At 46.1% G+C, this 23,334-nt stretch overlaps 1 protein-coding gene across 2 annotated transcripts in view; it reads left to right on the forward strand.

Annotated features, from left to right (window-relative positions):
• TGM6 (transglutaminase 6) overlaps nt 13,357–23,334 on the forward strand; it is a 51,853-nt gene continuing 41,875 nt past the window's right edge. For both annotated transcript variants that reach the window (NM_198994.3, NM_001254734.2), the window contains exon 1: nt 13,357–13,431. In NM_198994.3, the coding sequence (NP_945345.2) occupies nt 13,425–13,431 (7 nt within the window). In that variant the 5' untranslated portion in view covers nt 13,357–13,424. The remainder of the gene's footprint in view (nt 13,432–23,334) is intronic.

Consider the following 23,334-nt stretch of genomic DNA (forward strand, 5'->3'; position numbering starts at 1 on the left):
CTGTCTTCTTTCACTTCGTATAATGTTTTCAAGGTTTAGTACAATTGTTTTCAAGGCTTATCTATGTTGTAAGATGTTATCAGTACTTTGTCTCACTTTTCGGCTGAGTAATGCTCCATGCATATTCCACCGTTTATCCATTCATCTGAGGATGGGCATTTGGGTTGCTTCTGCCTTTCAGCTATTGTAAATGCTACTACCATAACCATGCCTGCACATGTGCTTATTGGAAATTTTACTTCTTTTGAGTGTATACTTGCAAGTGGAATTTCTGGGTTTTTTGATAATTCTGTTGAACTTTTGAGAAACAATGACTTTTTTCATAGATGTTCTTTTAAGCTGCTAAGTTTGTGGGAATTTGCTACACAAAGTTACAAGATAAATTCAACTTTTTTACCTAATTATTTTTAAATTTACCTTCATACCTCTAAATAACATGCTCTGAGGAAAATAATTGCTACTTCTTGATTTGCCAGAAAAATAGTGACAACTGTCCCTATGGCAAATAAGAGCTTACCCCTCTCATATTCCTACCACCATCATGCCAAGTATAGCCTTCCCATCTCCCATCCTCCCAGTACTGTTAAGTCATAACATTGGTTACTTTACTATCAGGTGCTTACCTTATTAAGCTTTGTAAATTCACAGTTGATCCATGTAGTAAAATCATGTTTACTTTTCCTTTCCTCAGTAACATTTTGCTTTCCCTTCCCTGGAGTTAATGATTCAAAGTCTAGCCTTTATATTGGCTTAGTTTTCTATACACCCACTACTATTTCAATCCCAAACATTCACTAATTTTTTAAATAGCCTCTCAAGACTTTTAGACACACCAGGTATTCTATCAGATTTGACATCCTGAGGAAGTTTTGCTTGGAGTCTTCTGATCTGTTGTGCCCTGGACTGATTGGTTTTTATACCAAATTCCCAGCTGATGTTCTGGGGCCTCCCTTCAGCATCGCCCTGGAATCTGTCTCCTAAGCTGGATCTATTGTTTCATGTAGCAAATATATTTTCTTCTTACCTGGCTTATTCCTTTAATGTTGCAGGATATCCTCCAGTTGTCAGCTGTCATCCTGGGTCTCCCTTCAGCATCACCCTGGAACTTGTATCCTAAGTTGGTTCTATTGTTTCATGTAGCAAACATATTTTCTTCTTACCTAGCTTACTCCTTCTTTGTTGCAGGATATCCTCCAACAGCTTCTCAAGAAAGGGCCCTTAAAGGCAGATCTTTTGAGACCTTGCATGTCTAAAATGCATTTTATCTTCACACTTGGCTTATAGTTTGGCTGGGTATAGAATCCTACAATGGAAATGATTTTCCCTTGGAATTTTCTGCACTCTAGTGTTATTGTTGGGAAAACCAAAGTCACCTCAAATCCCAATCGTTTGTACCTGATCTGTTGTTTTCCTCTGGAAGCCCATAGGATCTTCTCTGTGTCTCCAGTAGGCTGTAATTTCACAGGGCTTGGTAAGTGCCCATTTTCATCCATCACCCATTATGCTTGACATTCAGTGACTCCTTTCAATTTGAAAAGTCATGTCCTTTGTTTCTGAAAATTTGTCTTAAAATATTTTATTGATAATTTCCTCCCTTTTGGCTGACACACTACCCCTCCCCCCACCCTGCCCACCCCATCCCTCCCTTGCTGGCTCTTATTCTATCTCTGTCTCTCATTTTTTCTAAAACTCCTGTTGCTCTAATATCTGACCTTGTGGATTGGCCTTCTGATTGTCTTTTTCTCTCTTGGACATCCTTGGTTTTCTTTTTAAACAACTTGCTGAGCCATAGCTTCAACTTTATTCTCTTATCTGTATACTTTGAGATTTTTTTTGTTTCCACTATCATATTTGTAAATTTCTAGAGCTTTTTATGGTTTGGATGTTTCTTTTTTGTATCATATCCCGCTCTTGTTTTATGGTTGCAATATTTTTTCACAGCTCTGAAAACATCAAGAATAGTTTATTTTCCTGAATGTTCTTCTCCTCAAATAGGCTGATCCCTCTGAGCTTCTTATTTTAGTATGTTTATTTTTTTTCCTTTCTCTTTCATGTTAGAAATTTTCTTTAGATGTCTGGCAAATCTTTTCTGCTGATATTTAAAAGTAGGGGCTAAAAAAACTGATTGGGACTGGGTGTGGTGGCTCACGCCTATAATTCCAATGCCTTGGGAAGCTGAGGCAGGATTGCTTGAGGCTAAATTTAAGACCAGCCTGGCAACATAGTGGGACCCCCATCTTTACAAAAAATTTTAAAATTAGCCGGGTGTGGTGGTGCATGTCTGTGGTCCCAGCTCTTCAGGAGGCTGAGGTGGGAGGATCACTTGAGCCCAGGAAGGTCGAGGTGAGAGTGAGCTGAGATGGCGCCACTGCACTCCAGCCTGGGCAACAGAGTGAGACCCTTTCTCAAACATCAACAAGCAAACAAATAAAAAACTGGAAGTTCTGAGTGTGTGCTTGAGGGTGTCCTTGTAGGGTGACTACACAGGGCTGTGGAGCTGAGGAAACTCTCATGTCAGTATCTTTAAGTCTTTCCTTTGGAGCTGACGGAATCGTGAGCACTGTTTCCTCCTGGCTGCGGCATCATGGTGGAGCACGTGGGCAGGTGGAGGTGGGTGGGCCAGCGTCTCAGCATCCAGTAGACAAATGTCCCTTGAATACCCCATTTTCAGCATAGACCCTAGACCTCAGCTGAGCTTGTTGTGCTTCAGCCCAGAGACCCTCTCTTTTACTCTCACTGAAGAACAAAGCCACAGACTTTTGTTGGGCCAGGGAAGGGGCAGTGATTCAGCTCACAGAATGTGGAGGGGACCTGGGACCCACTACTTCATAAATAAGCTCTCAGCCAATTCTTATTTTCTTACACAAACCCCTCCATCCCAAGCTCCATCTACAGAGGTATCTGTCAAATTCCAGAGCTTTTCAGCTTGCTGCAAAGGAAGATTGGGTTGGTTTTCACCACTGCCTGGATTTCTCGTTGCCAGGTGAGAATTAGCTTTTTTTTTTTTTTTTTTTTTTTTTCAGATCTGCTCATTATTTGCCTGTCTTCCCCCTGCTTTTGAGCTTTCAAGGTTTTGCTGTTGTTAACTTCTCTCTGATTCTTCCGAAGTCCTTCTTGCCGTACTGGTGAGGCTTCAGGAACTGACTGCAGGTGTTCACGCCAATATCTATGCCGGGAAGCCCTTTTACTCCTCTGTTCTGCAAAGCTCTCAGTAAGGCATTTTTGTGTTTTAGGGGGCGGCATTCATGTCTGGCTTTCTGTAGTGACTGGCCTGAGGATGAGCCAGGCTGTACTGGCCAGGACACAGTCAGAGCTGGAAGATTATCACTCCTAACCATTTCATCTTTTCCTTCCTTGTTCATCTCCCTTGAGAGTTTGAAACATTCTTTAAACACAGGAAAGACTGGGGATTTGATTGTAAGCATACTTTTTTCAACTGATTTCCTTAAAAAACACTTAGAATTTACAAGAAGAACATCATTCTCCCAACAGAATTAAATTACTTTCATTCTTTTTCCCGGGAAAGTTTTGCTGGAAATGTCCTCTCCTAGCTCTGAGCTAACACAACTCTCTGTTAATGTATTTCTTAGGAATCATCCACTTCAATGGGCTGCCACTTTTGTGTATTTGTTTTTCTTTCTTATAGATAATGAGTTCCTTTAAGGCTAGAAACTGTGTCTTATTCATTTTTAATCCTTCCCTCTTCCCCACCATTATCATCTGAAATAAATGAATGAATGAAAAGATTCTGAGCAAGGTAATGCCTGGTAGCAGGATCAGGTCTAACTCCTCACTCTTCCACAATGCCTCACCCACATAGACACTAACATAGGCTTGGTGGTTGGCCAAATGAAGTGCAGAATCTTGAACAAAGTGATAACTGGAGCAGCAAAGCCAGAGCATGGCAACCTCCTTGTATTTCTGCCATGTCCATCCCTGCCCATTGTAGCGCTAGCACCATGGTTAAGACTATAGATACTAAACTCAGACTCTCTGGGTTCAATTTTTGACTCCATTCATTATCAACTTTGTGAACTTGAGAAGTATGCATATTCTTTCTGAGCCTCAGTTTTCCCTTCAGAAAAGTGGGAACAACACTGGTGCTTAGTAGTAGGTAAAATGCAAATTAGAGCAGCTCCTGACACGCAGAAAGTGCACAGTAAATGGTAGCACTGCAGTTCTCCAATGGGTAATGAAAAGATGACTTTATTTTTATCACTGATCTAATCTTTATGAGCCCTGGTCCTGCTGGGTTCCAGAAAAAAACACGTTTTTAAACTTGGGTTAATCATACCTTAGACTCTTCCAGTCCAAGCGGTCTTGTAATTATAATCCAGCCCCTGCCGCGTAAGTGCTTAATCTCTCAGACTCCTCCTCCTTCTGTTCTCCTCCAGGATTGCATCTAGGGAGCCTGGAATGGGGGCTTCTGTGAGGGAGGTTGGGACCCACATGTTCTCTGTTTACAGACTTGTCTGCTTTCGCCTGGTCCTTTATTGGTGACAGTTGATGTGTGTCTGATCACAACTGGCCTTCTGGATGTGGTGCTGGCTCCCAGCACTGGAGGCTGTGGTCCCTGCCCTGTGCCTCCAGCTGAGAAGTCCTCACTTTCCATGGCTTCTGTCCCAACTCCAGGCTACTGCTGGTCAACAAGTCCTTTCAGCGTCTTCATTCCCCTCCCTTGACCATATGGGAACTTCTGGATCCCTGCCTGCCGTGGACAGGAGGCTTGTTTCAGGCCTACCTCTCAAGCTCCTCTGTCTGCAAAAATGCATTTATAAAAGGATAAAGGAGGACCCGCAGAATCATCAGGAGCACTCAGCTTCCAGGAATAAGATCCAGAACCTCAGAACCGGCTTGACGAGGAAATAGAAGCTGCTACCAACGCTCCTGCCCCTGTTCTGCCAATGCTCCTCTGGGGCAGGAACTCATCCTGCAGCTACTAGTAAACCATGATCCCCATGGAAGCTGGTCTCTGCCACCATTCATGCCAACAGACCTGCCTCCTGCAGGTAATCCATGCCATCCAATTGCACACTTCTGAGCTGGAGTCTTGCTTGCCTGGGTTTGATCTGATGAGTGCATGTGGCAGGCCTGCATCCTACCTACCAGGGAGGCTGGGCTTTGAGTTTTCTGTGTTCTGGCTTTGGATGGTGTGACTATTGAGGCTGGAAATTTGCAAAATACAGCAAAGGCATTCAAAAGGGTCTGCAAGCCGTGTGCAGTGGCATACGCCTGTAGTCCCAGCTACTCAGGAGGCTGACACGGAAGGATCTTTTGAGCCCAGGAGTTTGAGTCCAGCCTGGGAAACATAGCATAGACCTTGTTTCTTAAAAAAAAAAAAAATTAATAACAATAAAAAGAACTGGACAGCTAGAAAACATGATGCTACATGAAGCAAAAACCCTTTTTTCATTTTATTATGAAAATTTTCAAACATAGAGCAAAGTTAAAAGAATTTAATAGTGAACACCATATGCCCCTCACCTAGGATTCTACCATTAACATTTTACTATGCTTATTTTATCACTCTTCCATCCATCCTTTCGTCCATCCACACATCCATCCAACCAGAAATTTTTGGTGCATTTCAAAGTCAATTGCAGACATTGGTACACTTCCTTCTGAATACTTCAGCATGCCTATGGTTAACTAGAGTTTGAAATTTGTTTACAGTTTTTTTCTTGGTGTTAAATTCACATATAATGAGATGTACAAATCTAAAGTGTACATTTGCTGCATTTTAATAAATGCCTATGTAATCAATATTCCAATCAAAATATAGAAAAAATGATCACTCCAGAAACTCCCCTCATGCCCCTTTCCAATCTCTGTCTCTAACCACCCCCAAAGGCAACCACTGTTCTGATGTTTTTCCTACCATAGGTTGGTTGGCAAAAGCCCTCTAATTTTGGCTTTTTCCTGAAACTATGGAAATTTGCCCCAGAAAGCTGAAATCAGATAGAAAATCTGCCTGCTTCTCCTTCCTTGGTCTCACTTCTCTTCCCCATACTCAACACAGGTGGGCTCCCCTCAGTGCCCTGGTAGAAAGGATTTCCCTGAAATGGTGTATCCAGGCCAGGTACAGTGGTTCATGCCTGTAATCCCAACAAATGGGGAGACCAAGGCAGGAGGACCACTTGAGGCCAAGAGTTTGAGACAAGCCTGGGCAACACAGTGCGAGACCCTGCCTCCACAAAACATAAAATAAAGTAAAAATTAGCCAGACATAGTGGCACATGCCTGTACTCCCAGCTACTCAGAAGGCTGGGGTGGGAGAATCACTTGAGCCCAGGAGATCCAGGCTACAATGAGCTATGATTCATTAAGCCTGGATCCTGATAGTTAATGGAAACTTAAAGAGTTTACTAAACGCTTTCTTGGCAAAGCCTAGCTTTAAAAACAACATTGTCTTATGAAGGACAAAACAAAACAAAACAGAAACCAAAAAACCTGATAGGGCAGTCAGTGCTAGATGATGACCCATTATAATTAGTCTCCTCTGCCCTGTCCCGGAAGCACAGAGACTCTTGGCTTCAGTGGGTGGGGAACCTCAGGTCAACATAATTTACCAGAAATATGACTGAAAATATTTCAAAAACACTATCCTCATCACAGAGTGAGTGAGCCGAACTGAACCAAGGGGAGGATCTAGAATCAGATGACATCGAGAAGTTGATAGCAAAAGTGTTAGAACCGCTGACATCTCAATAGGTTCCACAGTGATTCTCCCTTTAATGAGCATGAAGAAGTATTTGCTGAATGAGTTTTGACAGGAATTAATGAATGCAGAATGGAAGAAATGAATGAAGAGGGGATCATAAGTGAGGTGATTCCTGAGCATCCAAAGCAGTGACACAGTGAGATCTGAAGTCTTTGCAGCTTCAGAGCCGCTCGTAGGTGCTAACAATGTGTGATGTATGGAAAGACAGACGAGGCCACAATAGGACACAGGTGACAGGGATGAGGCCACCTCTTACCTCCAGGCTTGCCACACAGCTCTGGCCCACATAAGGTGGGCAAGGACAAGGTCTGCTGATGACAGTACTAGAGCATCTTGCCTTCCAACTGGGTGAGCACCTCCCTGCAAGAGCATGAACGCCAGCTGCCTATCACCTATGTCACCGGCTACAGGCATGGTCCTAAGGATGAGGTGATGTAGAGGTGAGTTAGAGCTTCACAGTCTTTTATTAGTTGCCCGATGACTTTGCCCAAGGGTGAGAGGGAGCAGTATCATCTTCCATTTTATAGCCAGGTAAACAGAGGCCCAGAGAGGGGAAGGGACACCCTGCTGCCCGACCAGTCCAGGTCTAGCTGTGATAGGTTGTTCTAACTCATTGTCTTGTGAGGATGAATTCCCAAAACAACACAGGTGACTCCCAGCCAGAGTGCACAGGGGATCCTGTGTCCAGCTGGTTGCTTGGCCCTTGGAACTCACCCATGGGCGGTACCAGGTCTGTGGTTGCTGGACCCACGGGGCTCTGGATATGGGGGTTCCAAGCAGCAGAGAGGCCTGGGGTGCCACCCACAGGGCACAGCTGCTCTGGATTTTTCTGGCCCTCAGCCTCATCTTTACTTGAGTCCACAGCCTCAGGCTCCCTCCCCTGTGATTTGGGTCAGTCTGAAGTTTTCTCTTAAGGGACAGACCTGGAATCCTAGAGGGGAAGTGCACTCTAGGCCAGCAGTTCTCAATCTTTTGGGGCTCAAGACCCCTTTACACTTTTAAAAATTATTGAGATGCCAAAGAGCACTTGCTTATGTGGGTTATATCTATAGTTTTTTTTTTACTGATTTGGAAGCTAACAATGAGAAACTTACAAAAATGTATGCATTAATTCACTTAGAAACTAAAAAACCTATTGCATCTTAACACATACAACATGTATTTATGAAAAATAACTGTACTTTCCAAGAACAAAAATAACATTAGTATGAGTGGCATTGTTTTAGATATAAATTTTTTTTTGCAAATTTCTTTAACTAAATGGCAGGCTTAACAGAGAACAGCTGGATTCTCATAGCTGCTTTTGTATTCAATTTTTTAAACATTATATATCATGAAGCCTCTGGAAAATTCCACTGTACATTCAGGGCTAGGGAGATGCTTTGAGTCCTGAAAAAAATCATGGTGCCCTTCCAATCCATATAATTAAAACAAAAGTAAACTTGAAATTAAGTAAACACAACACAGTTTTTATTTTCCCAAGGTGAGTCCTTTGATTTTTTTTTTTTAATGTTAAAATATTTTTTAAAATTCAGGCCAGGCACGGTGGCTCAAGCCTGTTATCCCAGCACTTTGGGCAGATCACTTGAGGCCAGGAGTTTGAGACCAACCTGGCCAACAGAGCGAAACCTCGTCTCTACTAAAAATACAAAAAATTAGCTGGACGTGGTGGTGCACACCTGTAATCCCAGCTACTCAGGAGGCTGAGGCAGGAGAATCAAACTGCTTGAACCCAGGAGGCAGAGGTTGCAGTGAGCCAAGATCACACCACTGCACTCCAGCCTGGGAGAAAACAAGACCCTGCCTCAAAAAAAAAAAAAAAACTGCTTGGTATCCACACTTTACTGGTGTCTTAAGCATGTGAACAACTCATCACAGATCAAAGGGGAGGGGCCCTGCCCAGGCATCTGTGCTTGGCTCCCTGGAGAAAGCCTCTCTTCCATCCTCACTCCCCATCAAGAGACCCTTATTTCTCTGAACTCCTCCCCAAAGGACAGGGTGCTTTAGCACGACCTCCTCTTCACTGGATTTAGGGCATGGTGCTGGGGAGCAGATGGGAGGACAGAGAGACCTGAATCCCTCAAGACATCCTCATCAAGGAGGCTGTGGTGGGAAGGAAACAAGCCACTGCAGTGTGAGGCTCGTGGACGGACAGACAGAGGGACAGATGATGGACATGCCCAGGAGCTCCAAGCAGTCAAGACCCCTGGAGACTATGGCAATCAGGCTTCCTGGAAGGACGTGGAGCTGGAATTCAGTTTTTAGGACGGGAAAAAGGGGCAAAATGAATGAGAAATTTTTATTCTTTCCCCTGACTTTAAAGATAATACAGATTTGTATAGAAAAGTAAAGCAATACAGAAAATAAAAAGAAGAAAGTAAAAATAATTACAACTAATATTTGTTGGGTGTGTGCCAGGCAGTGTTCTAAGTGCTTTACATATATTCACATTTAATTTTTACAACAACCCTTTGAGGTAGGCACTACTTTTATCCCCACATTACACATAAGAAAACTGAGGCCTAGAAAGGTTAACTTATTTGCCAATAGAGAACTAAGTGATGAAGCTGAAATTTGACCAAGGCAGTTTGACTCCAGAGCCAAGATCTGAGGCAACCATCTAAACACAGGTAACCCATCTAAACATTCATACATTGAGCATCTACTACATGCCAGGAACCTACTAAACTTTAGATTCATGACTCTGACTGTTGGCTGTGGTCTCCTACTTGAGCACATAGGATAGAAGAACATGATTTCTGGAAGTAGCTTGTTCAGCATCTTCATGCCATGGTGGACTTGGGGGTATTCTGGGGGGGTGCTGCTGAGCCTGTGTGAGGCCAAGTATTCATGAAGAGCAACAAAGAGACTTGGGATAAATTAAGATGGTACTGCTGGCCAAGCGTGGTGGCTCCTGCCTGTAATCCTAGCACTTTGGGAGGCCAAGGTGGTCAGATCACTTTAGGTCAGGAGTTCGAGACCAGCCTGGCCAACATGGTGAAACCCCATCTCTACTAAAAATACAAAAACTAGCTGGGCATGGTGGCACGTGCCTGTAATCCCAGCTACCCGGGAGGCTGAGGCAGGAGAATCGTTTGAACCGGGGAGACAGAGGTTGCAGTGAGTCGAGATCGCACCACCGCACTCCAGCCTGGGGAACAAGAGTGAAACACCATCTCAAAAAAAAAAAAAAATGTATTGCAAAAGGCATTGGAGGCCACCATAAAGAGTTTGAACTTAGGACCTTGTTGGGAGTGAGAAGCCACAGGGCCTTTGGAATGAGGAGTGCCACAGAATAAAAATGGTGGTTTGAGGATACGTATGTATCTAGAGGGAAATTTGGCAAAATATATCATAATTTTGCTTGTTTATTTGTTTTTAGAGACAGAGTCTTGCTACGTTGCCCAGGCTGGACCCAAACTGGGCTCGCTGTATCTTTCCACCTCAGCCTCCCAAGTAGCTGGGACTACAGGTGCACACCACCATGCCTGGCTTGTTATTTTAAATAATAATAATAATAATGTTTTTGAAAGGTAGTATATACCCACAGTCAAACATTTCTAAGAGTTCAAAAATTAGGTTTCTCCCTGACTTCTCGTTTCTACCACCTCCTTTTATTTTCCACCTTACTTTTTGTTTTTAATTAGGCAATGTATCTAGGAGACTGTTTCATATCCACGTGCATCAGTCTGCCTCCACTTTTTAAATAGCTACATAGTATTTTATTACATGGATAGATCATAATTTATCCCATTAATGAAGACAGGAGAGTTTTCACTCTTTCTGTTATAATTAATGTTGCAATAAATATCCTCGTACTTAAATCTTTCCACACTTTTGGATCCATCTGTCGGACAAATTCCTGCACATGGAATTGCTGTCTTGAAGAATGGCTCCTCTCAACAATTTCACTTGGCAGAAATTGTCCCATCATAGAAGCACACAAAAATACATGCAAACAATTAAATTTCTTTATAAGGGCAAAAAAGTGGAAATGACCTAAATTCTTATAAATTTAAGAAGGGTTAGTAAAATTATGTAAATTCACACAAGAGATGACATTAATAATGACAGTGCATAGCTATATTCTATGATTTGAAAAGCTGTCATCTCAGCACTTTGGGAGGCCAAGGCGGGTGGATCACGAGGTCAGGAGATTGAGACCATCCTGGCCATGGTGAAACTCCATCTCTACTAAAAGTAAATTAAAAAAAAAAATTAGCTGAGCATGGTGGCGGGTGCCTGTAGTCCCAGCTACTTGGGAGGCTGAAGCAGAAGCAAGGTGAGAACCCGGGAGGTGGAGCTTGCAGTGAGCTGAGATCGAGCCACTGCACTCCAGCCTGGGCAACAGAACAAGACTCCGTCTCAAAAAAAGAAAAGAAAAGAGAGCACCATGTTTGGTCAAGCAAAAAGGACGGGTTACAAAACAGCTTCTGTGTATGATGCGATTCATGTAAATTTGTTGCCATGTGTATACAGCCGTATGCATGTATACTTTCTTCACTCCCTGTATTGCTTGAATTTTGTACCTGAGTATGTATTATCTCTATAGCCAGAAGAACAATTAAATTGCTTTTAAAGCATCTGATTATTCCCCAGGCACAGATTTTAATTTGTGAAGCACCCACTTTATGCCTGGCATTGGGGTACCCTGAGCCGCCCAAGGCTTTGGCTCCCGTCTGTCATCTCTAGCCTGATCATCAGAATCAGAGAATGTTGGAACTGGTAACACTTAGTTCACACCCGTATTTTACAGATGAAGGCAATAAGGCCCAGAGAAGGTAAGTGACCTGCTGAAGGTCACACAGCCAGTTTGGCCCAGAGATAACAGAACCCAGGACTCTACTGCCAGGCTATGATGCTCACTTCTAAACTGAGTATGGGCCGGGTGCAGTGGCTCTCACTTGTAATCTCGCACTTTGGGAGGCTGAGGTGGGCAGATCACCTGAGGTCAGGAGTTTGAGACCAGCCTGGCCAACATGGCGAAACTGTCTCTACTTAAAATACACAAAAAATTAGCCGGGCATGGTGGCACACGCCTGTAGTCCCAGCTACTCAGGAGGCTGAGGCAGGAGAATTGCTTGAACCCGGGAAGTAGAGGTTGCACCGAGCTGAGATCGTGCCGCTGCACTTCACCCTAGGTGACAGAGCGAGACCCTGTCTCAAAAAAAAAAAACGAGGAGTATGAATTATTATTTGGGGTCTCGAGCAGTGGGGCAGGCAGTGATTTTGATGCCCTGTCTTCTGGGAGCTCCCGTCCAAGCAAGCCCAGGATGAAAGATAAAAGGGCCCTGAATAAGACCATCATTAGTGGGGAGGAGCCTGACCCTGCATAGGCAGAAAAGCAGCTTCAGCAGGGCCCAGGGTCTACAGGGCAGCAGCCTGCAGGGTGTTGAGGAAGGAGCTGCCCTGGGCTGCTGCCAGATGTCAGTAATTATAAGGCTATGTGGGTCTGCAGACAGCTCATTAAAGACGCTTGATCTGCGTGAAACCAGGAAGCAGAACTCAGCCTCTTTGCCACTTTCTGTAAGAAATCCAACCACATCAAACACTTTGGGGTTTTTATGCAGTTTCCTGAATGTTGGGGTGATCCCAGGGAGCGGCCTCATCCTACTGTGCTCAGCACACGGTTGTCTCCTTACCCTTCCTTGTCTCTTTCCCTCGATTCTACCCCCTCCCACTTCCCCTTCCTCACTGGCCCAGGCCACATCCAGCCTTCGATAGCCCCAAGTCATCCATCAAAGCATTTCTCCGGCAAAAAGAAACCTACCCCACCGGCTTCCATGAAAATAAAATCCCCTCTATTTCATTAACAAAAGACCTCAGATGCCTTGAATTCCAGCACCTTCAAGCCCAGAATCTTAGACTTTGAGCTGGAATGGCCCTGAAGAATAATTGAGTCCAATCCCTTTAGTTTGTAGGTAGAAACACCAGGGTTCCAGGAGGGGAGAGGTCTTGTCCAAGGTCACGGGACACCCATGGCCACCAGGCCTCTAAGCTCCTGGCTGGAGGCCACTCACAAAGTCAGGGCAGATGGGCCTAGCTTCTGAGTCAGAACCAGCTCTCCCCTTTTTCTTATCTACCTCCTCTCAAGAGTCTAGTGTCCACCAAGGAAGTCTAGTGGCCCTGAAGGAGGATCATGGACCTCTGCCTCTTTAGATGCCTGCAGAACAGAGTGGAGCTGTGGGCCCAGGAGTCTTCTGCTCTCACCCAGGAGGGGAGAGGGAGCCACAGACTGACCCGGCACTGCAGCGTGCAACCATGTACTTCGGGGTCCTGGCGCTGAGCCTGTTTTTTCTCATTTGAGGGTTGTTGTGAGGGCTAAGAATGGCCAACCATAAATCCGAGTTCCCTCAGTCTTCTCTCTTTCCCCGTTCTTTTTCTTGCCAGGCTTGTGACCTTTCTGAGCCTCAGTTTCTCCACAGTCCCATTCGCAACTCCGTGTTTCCAAGGTCTCTTGGCAGGAGCCACTCCCACAGTGAACCCCTCTAGGTGCAATTACAGGATGATTTTGTGTCTCGTGGGTGTCGCTGCTAGGGTGGAGGGCCACGCCTCCTCTTTTGAATTCTGACTTTCCTGCCTAGGAGTGTCCCAAGGTTTTCCTTGTTAAAATTGGTCTGGCTGGCTGCTGTGACGCGCCACACTGTCCTGACGGTGCACACACTGCTGTGTGGAGGAACAGAGGAGTCCAGCTGGCCTTCACATGGCAGGTAAGTGGGCAGAGCCTGGGGCCTTGGGACACCAGGGCTCATGAGGGGGGCTTCAAGAAACACGGGTCTGTGGGATGACGTTTGATCATCGATTGTTAGGATTTTACAGCTGGATAGTCCACCATGAACACATGAACTCTTCGTGTGGATTCATGAGGCCCAGGATGAAAAAGCCAGCTTTAAGCCACCCAGCAAGGCCATGGCCCAGGCTGGCTCAGGCGCTGTCTCCTGGGCTGGGGCCAGGTCTCACCCCTGTGCCTCGGAGGACTGAAGGAGGCAGGCACAGGAAGGCAGGGGCAGAAAAAAGAAAATCTCCTTGCACCCCATGCACATTCCATGGATCCAGAGACGTTTCTGGGCATAGTTGGGAATTGTGGCCTGCGTGGGAAGGAGTGAGAGGCCCCCACCGGCTGCATCCTCGCCTGATTCCCACCCCAAGCACTTGAGGGCAAGAGCAGCTCTGGCTCAAGTGAAAACAGCTATATGACCTTGAGCAAGAAAATTTGCCCTTGGTACCTCTGTTTTCTGATCTGTGTAATGGGGATTATAATGCAAATTATCTCACAGCCTTGCTGTGAGGAGTTGGTGAGACCACGTGTGCTGTTCTCCCACCACACATCTCAAGTGGGGACTTGTAAACAGTAGACTCAGAAAATGTGGGTCGGGCACAGTGGCTCACGCCTCTAATCCCAGCATTTTGGGAGGCTGAAGGGGGTGGAATTCTTGAGCTCAGGAGTTTGAGACCAGCCTGGGCAATGTGGCAAAACCCCGTCTCTACAAAAAAATACAACAATTAGCTAGGCATGGTGGGGAACACCCAAAGTCCCAGCTACTTGGGAGGCTGAGGTGAGAGGATCGCTTGAGCTTAGGAGGTAGAGGCTACAGTGAGCCAAGATGGTGCCACTGCACTGCAGGCTGGGCAACAGAGTGAGACCCTGTCTCAAAAAAAAAAGAAAGTAAGATAATGTGTCCCCCACGACCTCAATATAGTGAGCAGCAAACTCCCTCTGCAAGAACTTGTCTTAGATGCTGGGGCCCGGTAATGAGCAAGTCAGCAGAACCAGGGGTCCTACACTCACAGGTATTCAAGGGGTGTTTCTGAGTCTGTGTCTGCCAGTTTTAATTGTTCAGCATTATGTGACAGTTTTATGAATCAAATATTTTTTTAACTTTCAAAGGCAGATATTTGAATTTCCTCATCATAGTCTAGCTTCCTCTTCATATTTCCTCCTGGCAGTTAACAGCATTGCTGGACGTGTTGGGCCCTTCAGGCTCCTAGGATAGGTCTGTTCTGAAGACCAGGCCTTGCCAACACCAGCTCACAGCCCAGACTGCCTGTTTCCAGAGCTGGGGTTGCCTCCCTGATGGCCCTGGTGCAGAGGGGATTGCCTTTGTTCCTCCAAGATCTGCTTCTCAAAGTTCACCTAGATGATCCCTCTTCCCTGGGCCTTTGATAACCTATCAGACTTAAACTTGACAGTGCGAAGGTTAGTTTCTGAGGAAGGAAAAAAGTTGATGATGATGCCCATTGTCAGGTCTGTAACTAACTTGCTGGGTTCCTCTCTCTGAAGCTCTGTTTCTCCGTCTGTGAAATGTCAGCATTGGAGTTGTCATGCCTATGTAAATGGACTATGTGTTGGATTGGATTCAATTCCTGGGTCTTCTGGGTCCTCTTGGCTTCTTGGGAGGATCTGTTCCTCAGAGCAGTAGGTCCTGCCTACCACACACTCTGTGCCTGAATGACTGAGACATCAGATCCTAGATGGAAAGTGTATTCATCTTCCTGGAGCTCCTTCTATCCCCCCTCCCTCACTCCATCCATGGTGGACATCCCTAGTTGACCCCAGAGCTCTTCCCTCTGGAGCCTGGATGTGGCCCCAGAATGCTCAACCCAGCTCTTTAAGTACCAGTTGATCAGTGTTGGCAAAGGAGGTGAGACCCTTTTGCCATGATTAAATTACAATCATCTTTCAGCTCAGAGATTCCAAGAATTGAGTGGAATACTGTATGTGAGGCTGGCTCTGGCTGGGACATTGGGTTGGAGTTGATGAGTCACTGCCTCCTGGTGAAAGAGAGGCCAGCAGCTTCCAACAAGACCAGGAAGGAAAGAGAGATGGGGCAGTGGCCCCAGAAAGGCCCCAGGCAACTCTCGATAAATCATTTAGTCATGGAGTTCAGGTGCTCATGATGCGTACTAAGCATAGGATTATAATGGGGCCCATTAAAAACCAATTATGCTTAGTCCAGAGTCTGGAAGATGCCACTGGCTTCAACAGAGTTTCCAGGGCTCAAGCCCACTGGCCTGAGACAAAGAATTGGGGAGGATTGTATCATTCAGCTCTCTGGTATCACCCAAGGGCAGGAGGAGGAAGATGGATGAGCTAGGCTTGGGGGTGGGGATGGGTGGAGAGCTAAGTCGGCAGGAGGCAATGTTCTGCACATGGACCCTTCCCTTTCTTAGGTGGAGCTCTGGGGCCAGCTGGTGAGCAAATTAGTTGGGGAGGAGGTCAGAGGGCCAGAAGTGATGGGCAGGGCCTGACTGTCAAGGACCTTCAATGCCAACAAGATGGCTGTAGATTCCATGGTGCTTGAGCAGGGAAAATGACATGCTGACACTCAGAAAAGTCCCTTCTCCTCTCTGAACCTCAGTTTCTCCATAGTGATGGGATGGATTGAACAGGTTGAGCTGAAAAACACTCTGAAGCTGTTGGGGCCATACAGTCGCTTAAGCGAGAAGCAAAGAGGGGAGAATAACAAGAAACCCCGTGCATGTAGGAATTGGGGAGGGGAGGACCAAAGTGATGGGGGAGATGTGGGAAAGGAGTGATGATGTAAAAATCCCTGTTTGTAGGCCGGGCGCGGTGGCTCACTCCTGTCATCATAGCACTTTGCGAGGCCAAGGTGAGCGGATCATGAGGTCAGGAGATCGAGACCATCCTGGCTAACACGGTGAAACCCCATCTCTACTAAAAATACAGAAAATTAGCCGGGCATGGTGGTGGACACCTGTAGTCCCAGCTTCTCGGGAGCCTGAGGCAGGAGAATGGCATGAACCCGGGAGGCGGAGCTTGCAGTGAGCAGAAATTGTGCCACTGCACTCCAGCCTGGGCGACAGAGTGAGACTCCGTCTCAAAAAAAAAAAAAAAAAAAAATCCCTGTTCGTAGAGCTCATCACTGTGGACCCAGCACCAGGCTACGTACCTGATGAATAGGGAGACGTTGATCCTGGTGGAAGCCCATTGCCCTAGCGTGTTTATTAATGGCTTCTCCTTTCACTCTCAGAATTTCCTGCTTTAAGTGGTGCATTTTATCACTACCCTATGTATAATTACTACCCCATTTAATCCTCCTCGAAACCCTAGACGAAAGATATTATTATTGCCACTTTCCAGAGAAGGAAATCGGATCCTCAGATCCAGGGCCACACAGCCAACAAGTAGATGATTCAGGATGTCATGAATTGGCAGAGCACAGGAATGGCAGCTAGGAGGTCTTGTGTAAATAGTAATGATGATACCACTCACATTTCCTGAGAACCTAGTATGTGCCTGGTACCAGTCTAAATACTCTATGTGAATTATTTCACTTAATCCTCCCAACGTGAGGAAGCGGGTATGATCATCACCCTCATTGTCACCAGGAGACTGAGTTTCAGAGCTCACTCACTTGCCACACAGCCAACGAGGGGCAAAGCCTGCATGTGAGCTCAAGTGTGTGCCTCTGAAATCAGGCTTCTAGTTGCTGTGCAGAGTGAAAGGAAGCGCTGAGAAGACGATGAGAGGGAGAAGGGGAGGAGAGCAGACAAGCTGGAGGGGCTATGAGGCTTGGGGTAACAGGCAGGTGGAGGGAGCACTCTTACCACATCCTTTCCCTGTGCCTGGGGGGTACAGCCTCAGCCCTGGGGTTGGCGAGCCTTTAGCCTTGGGCTGGGAGCTCATCCTGCATACCCCAAGGGTGAAGGCCCCCAGAGCTGAAAACAGGCTGCCAGTTCTGTCCTCAGGGCCTTGGGTTCACTGTCAACTGGAGCAGTCTTAGAGCAGATGCTGCCTCTCCCATCCCCTCCATTGGGCAGTGGGTGAGCTACCTCTCAGAGGTACGGCAAGCTGGGACCATGATCACGTATTCACCAAGAATTCGGCCAAGGGAATTTGTGCCTGGGCAGGAAGTTGTGAGGGAGATGGTCTCTGAGATTTGAGGATAATGATGATAATGGCAGTTCTGACTCATCCCACCTCCTCTTGCCCGTCTGTGTTAAGGATGCAGATGCCTCAGAGGGTGATGGGAGCTGCTTTGGGCTGTGGCAGGGAAGAGGGACAACCAGTGCAGGAAAACCATGTCCTAGAGGCTATGTGACAATCTTCACATCAGCACTCTCTCGGCTGGGGAGGGGGGAGGTGTTGAGGTGGGGGTTGTCTTGTAGGGAGGAGGGCTGAGAGGAGTCCTTGGGGGTAATCAGAAGCACTTGCTTCAGCAAACCACAGACTATCCAAACCATCAGATTCCTTCTGGGTCATTTTACAGAGAAGAAAACAGACCCAGAGAGGCAGTGGGTGGGAGTGGGTGGTCAGTGGCCAGTCTGCCTGCCCATGTCAGAGGCCTCACACACCCTCCTCTTTCTCACTCTGTGGAAGGAAAGAAGTTAAGAAGGAAAGGCAGGCTTTGGAATGTGACAGCTTGAGAGAGGGATTATGGGGTGGGTGGGGTGTGGACAGTCGGAGCGTGAGCAGCTGACAGGGTGTGGGTGCTGATCCTCGAGGGCGGGCCCAAGGACGCTGCAGAGCATCAGCTCCCCATTCCGTACCCCAGCCAAGGGATGGGGAAGGAGATTCATTCATTCATCCAACCAACATTCACTGAGCACCTAATATGCCCTGGGCCCTTAACCAGGTTCTAGCAACCCAGGGAGGGGGAGACTCAGCCTTCGCCTTCATGGAGCTCTCAGTCCAGTGAGGGAGAGACGTATGTAAGCAAACAACTATAACACAGCATCCCTGATCACAGATAAGGGACAGAAGCCTCCGTCTTAAAAGAATTTGAGCTGAGCACATGGAAGGGGTGATACTGGGTTTATTTTGACAAGGGGCCTGGAAACCATCCCAAGTGCACATCTATCTCCTCGCCTTGGGCTGCCGTATACCTAGGAGCCTCTCCCCATGCCCGTCAGTCTCACTGTCCCCATGAGGACTAAGAGGGACACTGGCTAGGACAGAACGTATCTGAAATCACCGGTAGTTCCCCCTGCAGAATCCTGGACCCCAGCCCCGGCTATTACACCACATATGGCAGGTCATGGAGGTGTGATGCTGATGGATGTGGATGACTTAGATCACCAAAGCAGCAGCTCCAGGGACAGATTCCACAGGGATCAGAACAGTGACCTCCTGGGTTATGGGGTGAGTGTAGAGTTGGGCAGGGGAGGTGCCGGGGGCTGGCAGATTGGGATTTCTAGGTGGTTTCTGCAAAACCCCATCAAGGAGCAAAAGAAGAAGTGTGTTCTATGGGGTTAATGGGGAGCAAAATAGGGACAAATGGGGAGAAGCTGCAAGAAGAAAGAGCTTGGCTCAGCAGAAGGAAGGGCTTTCTAACATTGGGCGGTGAGTGAGCTACCTCTCAGAGGTATGGCAAGCTGGGACCATGATCAAGTATCCACCAAGAATTCGGCCAAGGGAATTTGTGCCTGGGCAGGAAGTTGTGAGAGAGGTGGTCTCTGAGATTCCAGGACAATGATGATAATGGCAGTTCTGACTCATCCCACCACCTCCTCTTGCCCGTCTGTGATAAGGATGCAGATGCCTCAGAGGGTGCTGGGAGCTGCTTTGGGCTGTGGCAGGGAAGGGGGGAAACCAGTGCAGGATCCATGGAGCTTGAACCCATGACCCAGGGTCCAGCAGCCCTCATCCAATCCCAAACTCCCCTTGTATCCAGCCCTGGGGCATACCAGGGCTGAGATAATTACCATCCAGCAACCTCGTCGTCTGCTTCTGACTCATCCACTGAAAAAATAGCATCCTGTTCTGGCCTGTCCCTACATACATTGCTTGGGAAGTAGCAACATGAATTGTGGGCTACAAATCCAGTGTGTCCTCAGGCAAGAAGTCCCTTTCTTCCCATTTCTGGGTCTCAGCTTATATGTCAGTAAATGGAGACCTGAGCTCCTAATGGCTCTTCCAGCTCTGCTGATATTAGACTTGACAATTCTATGTACAAGGTACCTGGTTGCGGGAGAGGGTCCTGCTTGTGTTTTCTGACTAAACCAAGGTCATCTGAGCTCAAAGTTTTGGAGTTTCAGAGGTTTGTGCCTGCCCTAGAATGACTGGGGCTAACTTGATGTGAAAGATTTGGTTTTACTTTCTGTTGTGAGAATTGGCAAGGGTAATGGAAAAGCCCCCTGGAACTGTTGTTCCAGCTCGTGCCACATGGGGTCACTGTTGAACACTGGTCCTGCACAGTGCTCACTCACCACAGCAGGGGCTGTAGGAGCTCCCAATCTTGGGACACATGTGTCAGCTATGTGAGTTCCTACCCACATGTTCAGTCATTATCCCCATATCATGATGCCAGCAGGGGCTTCTGGCCTAGGCTAAGCTAAAACTAGTATTTTCCATGAATCTCAAGCCTGATTATTGAGACCACAGCACCAGCCCAGACAGCTCACAGGTGGAGAGCAGTTGGGAGGTTGTTGTGGTCTAGACAAGAATCTTGGCTCTCTCCATGTTTCAGTTTTCAATTCCTGTGTAGCAAACTGCCCCAGCACTTAGGGGCTTCAGACAACAATCATTCTCCTGCTTAGGAACCTGCAATTTGGGCAGAGCTCGGCAGGGACAGCTTGCGTCTGCATCAGCTGGGGCAGATTGCCTGGGGGCTGAAGGACCCACTTGCCAGATGGCTCAGTCCCATGGCTTCCAGATAATTCTGTCTGTCAGCTGGGAGCTCAGTGGGCTGTGGGTTGGAAGCCTTGGTTCGTCTCCAGGTGAGATTCTCCGTGGGCCATTTGGGTTTCTTCATGGCATGGTGGCTGGGTTCTAAGAGCAAGCAACCCAAGGGAACCAGAAAGAAGCTGTATTAACTTTTATAATCTAGCCTTAGAAGTCACAATGTGTCACTCTGTCTTAGCCACAAGTCTTCCAGGTCCAGAGGGTGGGAATATATGCTTTACTTCTGCAATGAGAGGAGTATCAACATCATATTGAAAGAAGAGTATGTGGGATGGGAGATATTATTGCAACCACCTTTGGAAAATCAATCTGCCACATGCTGTTAACTAAAAGATTTTACAAAGATGCTGGAATCTTTAAAAAGCCAAACATTTTGACCAGCCCTGTCCAGACACTTGCCCACACAAGCCACTGATCTGATGCCTGTGGTGAAGCTCACGTTGAATTTTACAGTCTGTAACTTCTAGGCTGTGACTCCTATGGGGTCAAAGATAAAGGCACCATAGCCTGGGGATAGACAAGCCACCAACTCAGGAGGCAGATTCCCAGCTCCATCACTTAGAAGGCTGTGTAACTCTGGGTCATGTGCAGTGGCTTATGCCTGTAATCCCAGCACTTTGTGAAGCTGAGATGGGAGGATTGCTTGAGGCCAGGAGTTGGAGACCAGCCTGGTCAACATAGCAAGACCCTATCTCAAATTAAAAACAAACAAACAAACAAAAAAAAACAGGCTGTGTAACTCTGTACCTCAGTTTTATCATCTGTGACATTGAGTTAACAGCAGTACCTCCCTCATATGGTTTATTAAGATTAAATGAGCTAATATTTATAAAATATTTGGAAAAGCACTTGGTTCATAGGAAGATTTATTAAATAAAACCTATCCAATGGTCTAGCCAACAATTACTGACATTTCCTGTATGCTTGGCATCAAATAAGATACAGCCAAGAGTTGCATGACAAGTGTCCTTTGGTGGGGAGTACCTGGTGATGTAACTTCAGTGGTTCTCAACTGTGGCAGATTATATTTCACAGGGTGGTCATATCAGTATACATCTCAGCTCAATATTCTTTTTACAATGGGACATGACGTTGGTACATTTTCAGCAAGAGATGGGGCATGTTCCTTCTCTTTGAACCTACATAGGCCTTTGTAACTGCCTTGACCCATAGGATAAGGCGGAGGTGACATTGTGTAACTTCTGAGGTTAGGTCATAAAAAGCATTGCATCTTCCACCATGGTCTCTCAGGTCACTTGCTCAGGGGAAACTAAGCACCATGCCAGGAGGACACCCAAGCATTCCCATGGAAAGATCCACATGGAAAGGAACCAAGGTGCCTCAACCTGTATTCAGCACCAGTTTGCCAGCCATGTAAGTTAGTCACCTTTAAAGTGGATCCTCCAGCCTCAGTCAAGCCTTCAGATGAACATGGCCCCAGCTAACATATGATTGCAACCCCATAAGAAACTCCAATTAAGAGCTGGCCAGTGGAGCTCTGCCCAAATTCCTGACCCACAAAAACCATGAAAGATAACATATGATTATCATTTTTCCAAGCTAAACTCTGGGTTAAACAGATTGGTTAAGAAGCAATAGATGAGTAAAACATCAACTTTTTTGTCCGTAATACCCTCCCTCTCAATATAACAAGTATTTAATAGTGTCCCTTCACCAACCTGAAATTGAATTGACACATCTTACCTACCTCTATACTCCACTTTTTAAAAAATTGTATCCTAACTATAATATAAATAGTAAATAAGAGGAAATCAATTTTTCACTAAACATAGTTAAGTATGTAAATGCTTATTGAAACTTTACCAGAAGACATGATGAAGTGATCAGATGCCATCCTGCGACTGTAGTGAATCAAGACAAAAACAAGGCCACTCCATAATCATGAGTGAACACAGACAAAAACATGAACATTGTCTAAGCCACTTACTGGTCTCGATCTACTGACATATTAGCCCTATAGATGGGCTAATATGAATAACGGCTGCTTCTTTACTACTTATGACACTAGCCTCAATTCATTCTTCCCATCTTCTACGTAAGGACTATTAAGATACTCAGACATAGACTTGCCTCATTCCCAGAGAAGCCTCCAATCCCAAGCAAAGCCCTGCTTCTTTGAACTCTCCCCAAACCACCTAACACAAGCCGCAATCCTGTAAGTCCTCTCTAATATTGTCTTCCCGAGATGTTCCGTGATTCTTTGTGGTGAGCATTCTTTCTCATTGCCGTGAGCGATGAGCCCTTCCTGTTCATTGTACTGATGTGTTCCTGGTGGTCTTTGGGTAGAGAGCCTTGACAGAAAAAGAAAATAAATTTCAGTATTCATCATTCATAATACGGGGAAATAGTAATGAAACTTTTGTTTCAGTTTATATCTGTGCATGTATGTATGTTCGCAGGCATATGGAGTATGGAACATTTAAAACTGTTTCTTATGTTAATCACAATAAAACTAGTATAACCACTGACCCAGTGGTCAACAGCTGGAAGCCAGGATGCCCACAGACTCCACTCCAGCCCTTGCTTGTTTGTGTGCCCTTTGGCAAGTTATTTCACTTCTCTTTCCCTCAGTTTCCTCATTCATTCATTAATATATTTAAGAAATATTTGTTGAGCACCTTCCATGTATCAGGCGCTGAAGATTCACTAATGAACAAAACAGACACAGCTCCCTGCCCTTATGCAGTTGATATTCTTGAAAGGGAAGGTAGGCAATTAAAATAAAGAAATAAAATATATTGTAAGATGTCAGTAAGTGCCATGGAGGAAAATAGTGGAGAAGGAGAGTAGGGGTGATTTGCAATTTATAAAGGAGTGGTCAGTGAAGGTCCCACTGAAAAGGTGACATTTGAGCAAAGACTTGAAGAAGGAGGCAAGGGAGCAGGTTCTGCAGGAATCTGAAAGGAGAGTGATCCACATACAGGGAACAGCAGGTGCAAAGGCCCTG

This window comes from Homo sapiens, chromosome 20 (assembly GCF_000001405.40).
Source record: "Homo sapiens chromosome 20, GRCh38.p14 Primary Assembly".
Classification (NCBI taxonomy): domain Eukaryota; kingdom Metazoa; phylum Chordata; class Mammalia; order Primates; family Hominidae; genus Homo; species Homo sapiens.